Source organism: Homo sapiens, chromosome 4 (assembly GCF_000001405.40).
Source record: "Homo sapiens chromosome 4, GRCh38.p14 Primary Assembly".
Classification (NCBI taxonomy): domain Eukaryota; kingdom Metazoa; phylum Chordata; class Mammalia; order Primates; family Hominidae; genus Homo; species Homo sapiens.
In genome coordinates this window covers 84,361,744-84,370,865 of record NC_000004.12, presented here as the reverse complement: position 1 = coordinate 84,370,865, position 9,122 = coordinate 84,361,744, and the positions used below count along the sequence as shown (strand labels likewise).

Sequence of the window (9,122 nt, the reverse complement as noted above, 5' to 3'; positions counted from 1 at the left end):
TCTTACTGGGGTACCTGCTTATATTGTTGCTAGCAAACTATTTGGGCATGTTATTTTTTGTATCTGGACTAGTTCCTTATCTGCCAAGAACTAAATGATTAAGTCCCATCTAACATTTTAGGATGCTCTGATCTCCTTTTGACTTATAGAAATCACCAAAGTTAGACAGCTAATGACCACTCTTTTTAATATTTCCTCCTTCATGACATGGGAAATGATTTTTAACGCCACTTTAGCCCAATAATTCAGACATCTCACATTGTATATGCACGTGTGTGTTCATTTCAGTGCTATTCACAACAGCAAAAACACAGAAAAAACTTAGGTGCCCCTCAGTGGTGGACTGGATAAAGAAAATGTGGCACCTGTACACCATGGCATACTATGCAGCCATAAAAAAGAATGAAATCATGCCCTTTGCAGCAACATGGATGCAGCTGGAAGCCATTATCCTAAGTGAACTAACTCAGAAAATCAAATACTGCATATTCTCACTTTTAAGTGGGAGATAAACATTGGGTACTCATGGATATAAAGTTAAAAACAATAGACACTGGGTTCTAGTAGAGGGTGGAGGGTGGGAGACCAGTAACGGTCGAAAAACTACCTGTTGGGTATTATGCTTATTACTTGGGTGACAGGATCATCTATATACCCCAAACCTCAGCATCACACAATATACTCATGTAATAAACCTGCACTTGTACCCCCCCGAATCTAAAAGTCAAAATTATGTTTTAAAAAAGAAAATATCTCAGAGTCTTGTCTTCTAGATTTTCTTCATTTCAACAGTTTGCCTTCTATTCTTTTTCAGTTGCTTAGATTTAAACTTCCTCAGAGTCTCAGTGAAAAGGACGAGTTTATTCAGCTGGAAGAATTGAACCTTGAAAGTATACCCTTTAACCTTAAGTTTTAAAACACTGGGTTACAAATAAGAATATAAAGTTTTATTCATCTCTAAACATACTAGCAAAGCAACTGATCTTTTAAACAGAAAATTATCAATCACTAAGGACGCTACCAAAAATAGAAATATTTAAACATTGTAATCAGACACCTCTAGTGATTTGTGAATATCTGGAAGTCCTACTGAACCATCAGCTATTTGACATTATGTAGAGTTAGCTTGAGTCTAGGTGACTTGTTCCTTGGAAAGGCTTAGTTAGCACGGACCTGAAGTACTTCTAGTATGAATTCTATCCTAATGTCTTTAAGAGCATTGGGTGGAAAAGAGATGTACCAACACACACAATGTTCTGCACATGGAGTCATTAATGAATAAATTGGCTGAAGCACCTAGAAAGGTTTCAAAATGCCCAATATCATCTTACTCAAGGAAATTTGTTTCCTCGATGGAAAGCATGCCAAAAACAAAAAACAAAAACAAACAAACAAAAAAACTAGTAGAACAAACAAGTGGAGAAAATAGAAAAGCGGAGAATAGCAGAAACCTTGAGTCCCTTTATGTTCCTTAAAAAGTTTTTGATTATTTTTGTTTTAATCCATTCAGCAAGTATTTATGGAGTGCCATCTGTATGCTATGATAAGCTCTAGGGTTACATTAATAGATAAAACAGCCCCCTACCCCTATCAAAAAAAAATCCCTACTCTCATTAGCTTCTTTTAAATTTATACCATTGTTTAATGGGAATGAGCCCAGTTGAATTTTTTCAGTAACATATTTTAAAATAAGCTTTATTTTCAAAAACAATTTTAGATTTACAAAAAAATTGAAAAGATAGTTCAGAGAGTTCTCATCCACTCCACATAGTTTTCCCTATTGTTATCTTTCATTAGGATATATTTGCCACAATTAATGTGTCAATATTGATACATTATTTTTAACTAACACCTATAGTTTATTTATATTTTTTATATTTTTCATTTGTGTCTTTTTTCTGTTCCAGGCTACCAGCCAATCCAGAATACCACATTACATTTAGTAATCAGGTTTCTATCACTTCTTAGGCACTTTATACAAGTCATTTCATTTAGTCCTAACGAGAACCCTGTAAGGTAAGTACTACTATTGCCTCATTTTATATATGAGAAAATCGAGGGTTGGAGAAGTTAAGTAACTTGCCTAAAATTATGCTTAGTTATATTGTGAAGCTGAAATAAAAACTCAAGTTGTCTTACCTTCAACTCCTATGCATACTCTTCCACTGTACCACCCTGAGTCTTAATACTTTTTTTGTTTCAGCAAAGCAACCACTCTATCTGAATTACTTTTTAAGTTTAGACCTTAGGGATGCTATTGTCTTAACACTAGTTGACAAAATTTAAAATCTTTTATTTACTAACGATATATATCCATTATTGAGAAAAATAAGTAAGTCATGAAAGTCCTAAGCAAACACTTTTTAACTACCAACAGAGGTAAAAAAATTTTGTAAATAAAAAAATGTAATTTTATCCAATTTTGCTATCCATTTTGATTGTAATCTACACTTTATTTTTACTTTTTCACTTAAAAAGCTCATGACTATTTGATGTATATTTTTTCTTCCCTTTCTCTTTCATTAGCCTTTGCCGCCACGTTGGTTTGGATCTTTATTGCTTTTTATAGGACAATTTAAAAATGCCTTTATTGATCTTTCCATTGTCTCTCCTTGACTGTTTCCTTTCATGTTACTTCCCTCCTCAAACAAACAAAAACAAAAACCAAAAACCTGAGAAAGATAATTTGTGATCTGATCCCATCCTGCTTTTTCCACCCCATCCCTCACTTCCCACTGTGAGTGTACCCCAGCCATACTGGGTAATTTTTTGCTGATTGGATGTGCCATGTGCTCTCTCCTTTGTCAGAACCTTTGTTTATGCTCTTTCACCCAGGGAATATATTTTCCTGCATCTCCACTAGTCAAAACTCCTTAAGATTTGGCTCAAAATCCACCGTGTTGTTGAAACTTCCCCTGGGTCCTCTAGCTCAGTTGTCTCTTTCCTGTCTCTGCTCTTAGGTACTTAACCCAGAGGAGATATTATGTGTTCTAGATTAAAGGTTCCTTGAGGGCCGTACTCCTGTCTCCATCATCTTTGTATCTTCTGGGCATTACTTTAGTGTATTGCTCAATGTTTGCCTAATACATGAAATAGATTGATGGATAGATGGATGGATAGGTAGGTAGATCAGTCAATTGATTGATTGACAAAGGGGGTGCCAACAATGCGTTAAAAATGTGCTTAATGCTAAAATTCCACAATAATTATAATACTGTGACTCTGGGCTTCGCTGCATTTTTAAGGTGTGGGAAAATTAAACAAACCAAAGAGAATGCTCATAGCACTCAGGTAATTTTCCTGCGATTATTTCTAATTGTGGATAGAAAAAAAAATCTGGCTGGATTCTTAAGTTAGCATAAAAATGACTTGGATGTTATGACACAATAATGCCCAGAGACAGCGGGGAAATTAAAACATTCCATAATGGTTTTAAATGGAATTTAGATTTGTGACTGAAAGTGTTGCACTGGAAGATACTAAAGGCATATTATGTCACTCTAATTTGGGTTTTGAGAATAATGGGGAGATGGCTGAGGAATTAAATACTAGAACAAAACAAAATAGAATATAACCACAAGAAGCTCATGCTGTTCCAAAGGAAAGCTTTTATCCAGCACAGAGCTGTATCGGACCTTGATTCAGTGAAGCTTAGGGCTCCTGTGGTGTTTTCCTCTTCAAAGCCCTGTGCAAACATGAACAAAGTTAATCTAATTAACTTATTAGCTTTTTAAGCTAGTGGTACCAATTAGTCACCTCATCAGACTCTGGCTTGGGTCTCATTGTGCAGTGCATAGCTATAAAGGGGCTTTCATCAAAACCCCCAGGAGTACAGCGCATGGCATTTGTGTGTGTTTTCAAGAGAATGGCAGAAAGAACCATGTGCAAGGCAATTATGGGGAATCCTCTCTGGGAAAACTTTAATCATAGTGACCATTCTCATCACCTTTTTCTAGAAAGGAAATCACATATTAGCTTTCATTCTGGAAGCGTGAACCCTTCCTTTCACCTGAGTCTGGAGAATAATTATAAATCTTAGACTTATATTCCTGGATGCCCATGGGGGAGAAAGCCTCATCAGCAACAGGGAATCATAGAAGGTCTGGCAGTTTGGGTGGTATTTTTTTAAAGGGGGAGAAAAGGGGATTCAAGCAGGGTGCAATGAGAATAGTGATCCCAAAATACAGCCCTGCAGGAAGACTTCCAGAGAAACAATGGGGAAGGAATAAATAAAAAGAAAGTTATAAATTCATCTATTTGCTCTTCCCTGACCCTTGCTTTTACTCCTCTTCACTGCAACTACCCTGGGAAAGGCACAATACTTTCCCCTGTCACAATATTGAGAAAAATTGAAATGGGGAAGAAAGACCACCAGATGCTTTATTGTCTTAGACGTTTCCACATAATTAGCTGGGGATAAAGGGCCTCTGCATGGTTTCATTGCATTGAATGAACTTGGATATTGCTACACAGTAGTGTGTTTTATGATTCATGCTCAGTTATCCTGTGGCTTTTTGAAAACTGCCAGCTACTTTATCACTGCCAGCCAAGCCTGGGCCCACCACTTAAAATGCAGCAATGCAAAGTTAACTGTGCATGACAGATGTCCATGAAATTGTTTAACACACACATACACGCTCACACAGAGCACAAAGCTGGCTCTGGCCCCCTTTCGAGTCTTGCTGGCTTAGTGTCCTTATTAAACATAAATAAAAACTATAGGGCTAGGAAAGAAAGAAAAATTCATGAAACAACTAAAAAGAGGGCACATTTTGGACTGTAGTTACATTGGATGCATTTAGAATTTCAAAAAGGCTCTTGAAAAAGTTAGAAATAATGAAGTCATGAGAAAAGCAAAGAACTGGTGTGTTTGGGGGTTAGTTTAGGAAATTGGGTATTAGAGGTCATCTTCTTTTCCCTCTGAACTGATATAACCAAAGCATTATTATGTCTCCTCCCTTCAGTCTTCAGTCCTGTGTGCCATGGAAAGTGATTTCTTAGTGTGGTCCCTCATCTGTTTTATACCTTGACATCTTCTCTCTAATCCTCCCATTTCTTTTAAGTACTGTGTATCTTATATTTTGACTCCATTGCACATCCGCCCTCTTCACTCAACATGCCAGCTCCCTTGATCCCTTTGGCTTTTGCAGAAGGAAAATGCTTTTCCTACTCACTCTCTATTTTTGTAGAACAATTTTTATGTCATATTGCATTGTGAGTTTTGATGTAAGTGCCTGTCTCCCTTACCAGATTCAAAGCTCTTTGAGTGCTGAGGCTGTGACTTACTCATCATTGTATCAGGGTCAACATAGTAGCCAACATAAAGTAGATGCTCAACCAATGTATAGTGGACATCAAGGTCGACTGAGAGAAAATCAAGCCTGCCAGGGTAGCTGGGTGAATGCACACTTCCAGTAGTTCCCTTGAGTGAGGCTTCCTATGTCTTGGTTTCGTACATTACTTTTTGGCAGTGACATGCTCTATTTTCCTGAAAACCCTGATGAATTACTTTTCAGAAGTTAAGGGATTAAAAGGGACAAGAAGTTGGTAAAGAGCATGGTGGGTTGGGTTGGAGATAAGTCTCAACATCAATCAGTCCTATCCCTGGCTGTTTGTGAAGAAATGCCCCATTTTTTTTTTTTTTTTGGAAAAGAGTCCCCCTCTGTTGCCAGGCTGGAGTGTAGTGGTGTGATCTCGGCTCACTGCAACTTCCACCTCCCGTGTTCAAGCGATTCTCATGCCTCGGCCTCCTGAGTAGCTGGGATTACAGACGTGTACCACCACGCCCAGCTAATTTTTGTATTTTTAGTAGAGACGGGGTTTCACTATATTGACCAGGCTGGTCTCAAACTCCTGGCCTTATATGATCTGCCTGCCTCGGCAGGCACTTTGCCCACAAAGTGTAGCACCCCATTTTTGACAGTGGCACACAGTGCTTGTTTTACTCTTTCTCTCTCAAATCTTTTAGTCATTTACCACATCTTGGGGTGTGTATTAGTCAGCTTGGGCTGCCATAACAAAATACTACAGATAGGGTGGCTTAAACAACAGAAATTTATTTCTCACAGTTCTGGAGGCTGGAAGTTCAAGATAAATGTGTCACCAAGTTAGATTTCATTCCAAGACTTCTCCTCCTTGCATGAGGAGGTTGCCATTACCCTGTCTGTGTGCTCACATGACCCTTCTCCTTGACATTTAACGACAACCCAAAATTGCTCTTCTAAAAAAAGGCAAGAGGACCTGCTCATGGTGCTGGGATAGAAACATGGAAAAATATAAGTAGAGATATAATACACTATACAGAAGCTACATTCAGAATCTCTAGAACTTTTTGGAATAAATAAGCAAATACTCGCCATAGAAATAAAATGAGAAAACATCCATGAAATTTCCACCGTGAGGATTCTGAGTTTTTGATATCCATTTTCCCTCCCTTTTTCCCCTTGACTTATGACATGAAGGAGAAATGCAACTTCCCTTCAGGCTGGCTGGCAGCCAGCAGTTAGACCCAGTTCAATCAGTGGGCTCTGGGTGATGGGACCAGTAACCCCAGTTCCCCTTCTTCCTGAAGCCTGTGTTTCAGAAATGCTTTGCAATGGAGTTTAGTCTTTTGTGCTCTGGCAGGCGAATCCAGAGTTTACAAAGAGCCTCTTGATAAATTGTGATACTCCTGTACCCAGGAATCATAACTTGGAGAGGAGGAGACTTATAGGCACCTTCTTCCAAATCCAAGAGGATAATTTTCACGTTTTTGTTGACATGTTTTCCTATAATTGTATATTGTTGTTCTTTATGAGAGGTTAATGTCCCCAAAAGGAGGATCGATGAATATGGGTTTTATCATGTTCTTTAAATCTGGAGTAATTTAATTTACTTTTTAAAGTATTTTGTGGTATGTTTTTAAGATTGTGCACTAAGGGATTATTGCTATTTTACATGTAATAAGAAACACCTCAGAGGAAAAAGAAAAACAAAAAACCCTGAACTCTTTCTTTAACTTTCAAGACACCCCTTCCCTCAACTTAGTATATTCCTTATCATTATGAAGGGAGCCAAACTCTTTGACTCCTTGTAAAACTGTTTATCCCCCTTGGGGAACACAAAGTATCTCACAAGGGTACCAATGAAATCTTGGGGGAAAGAAAAGAAAATGGGTGAGAGCCCCAAATGTGTGTGAGTTTGTGTTTATGTTATAAATATGTGCAAATTGCGTGTGTGTCCTGGGAGGGACTGTGTATTGTGTGTGTGAATTGTGAGTGTATGTGGATTGTGTATACTTTGTGCATGTGTGGAGTGTGTGTGTTTGTGTGTGGGTTCTGGGAGTGTGTGTACTGTGTGTGTATGTGTGCTCGGTGTGAGTGTGAGGACTGGGTAAGTGTGGATTGTGTATGAGTGTGTGTGTGGGCTGCATATGGGTGTGGGTGTGTGAGCATGTGGTGTGTGTGTGTGTGTGTGTGTGTGTGTGTGGACTGTGGGTGGCCTGCTCAACATTTTGGTGGATGTTTCATTCCCACCCCTTTTACTACGACCCTGGTCAGACCACTTTTATGCCTGTGACAGCTTCATGAAGCACAAAACATGGAGCAATACATGGCATGAAATTGGCAACAAAGCCGAGCAAAAGGAGGAACAATTCTCTGGCAGGATGTGTTCACAATATGGCTGATTGGATCTGGAAGCAGATGCCAGCAGCGGGTATTGTCCTAGTGACTGAAAAGACATGACCCCTCAGAAACCGAAGACAAGGAGGCTCTCCTCCCGAACCAAGGGGGAGGGGAGAAGAGGTGAAACCAATGAATAAATCAGGCAATGAAAACCGGGGAGAAAAGAAAATGCTAAAGAGGACTTTTTATGGGGAAAAGGGGGCAGTTCAGTATGCAATCACTCTCGCTCTCCAGCTAGCTGAACACTTTCTCAGACAATGGCTTTTTAACAGATGGGAGACCTAGTGAAAGAAGCCAACTTTTGCGCAGTGGAGAATCCCTGTTTGTTTAGTCTGCTGCTTGGGCAGGTGTCTGGAGAAAGGCGATCTAGCAGGTTAAGTGCTTCTGTGCCAGTTTAATATGGAGCAGCCAGGATATAAGAGGCGACTGGTTTTATTGGGGAGGACTGGGCTCATTAGAGTGGTTTCTTAAATTCTGAAGAAATAAAGCAACTGGAAGTTGCCTCCTGAAGTGCCAGCTCTTCCCCGCCCCCTTGCTGCTCACTCCCTCACCTCTCTCTCATCAGCCCTGGGAGTCAAAAAATCTGTTGAAGGGCTGTCCATCAAGTAAAGGAAGAACGAGGGATGGGAACATACCGCAGCCTGCATTCTCAAACCACACATTGTATTTCCAAATACGTTTTAAACACATAAGGCAATGAAATGGCCTTAACAGTGAAATGTAATCTTATTTTCATCAAATGGGCTTTCTGGAATTTTACATGTAATAGAGAGGGCTTTGCATTGCCCAACAGATTCTGGAGCTCTTGAGATGTGGCTGCTACCCCTAGAAGTTCTTGGCTTGGCTTCTTGTACTGTCTAGCACTGGGAGTTGGCTTGAAGGCTGTGAGTGGGATACCTTGGAGCCGTGGCTGGGGCATCTGTGGGTTCACTCTTCCAGCATAACAACTTTGCTCTTCCAGAGAGTCTCAAGAAGGTGAATGTGCTTTTTCAGAAATGAAAAAAACACCTGAAGAAGAAAAGTGTGTGGGTGAGGAGCGGGTGTGTGTTTTGCTTTGTAAAGAGGAAGTGTTTCTCCTTCACTTCAAGACATATATGTAATAGCCACCAAAAGAATTGCCAGATGAGGAAACAGGGCTTGGTTTCCAGCCTGAATTGTATTTTACCATGAAGAGTCACTAGAACGTGTTAAAGGGCAAAATGAAGAACTTGGGTTGTGTGGGTGGTGGAGATTTTCTCCCCTTTTGTTTGTGAGATGTGAGTTGTATGAAAGGAAAACACAGTCCCCCACCGATGTCCTTATCCCTTCCTACCAGATAATTCTCATGAAGAAGTATTTTATACACCAGCGTTGCCCAGGCTGGAGTGCAGGGCAATCATACCTCACTGCAGCCTTCAACTCCTGGGCTCAAGCACTCCTGCGAGTAGCTGGGACTACAGGTGTGTGCCACCACATCCA

At 39.8% G+C, this 9,122-nt stretch overlaps 1 annotated feature.

Annotated features, from left to right (window-relative positions):
* Positions 7,934-8,159: a silencer, noted in NCBI's record as "fragment chr4:85283860-85284085 (GRCh37/hg19 assembly coordinates)". NCBI's record gives its function as "represses an EF-1alpha promoter that drives an FKBP-Casp9 reporter gene in an ReSE screen in HepG2 liver carcinoma cells {active_cell/tissue: HepG2}" and the evidence as "EXISTENCE:reporter gene assay evidence [ECO:0000049][PMID:32094911]".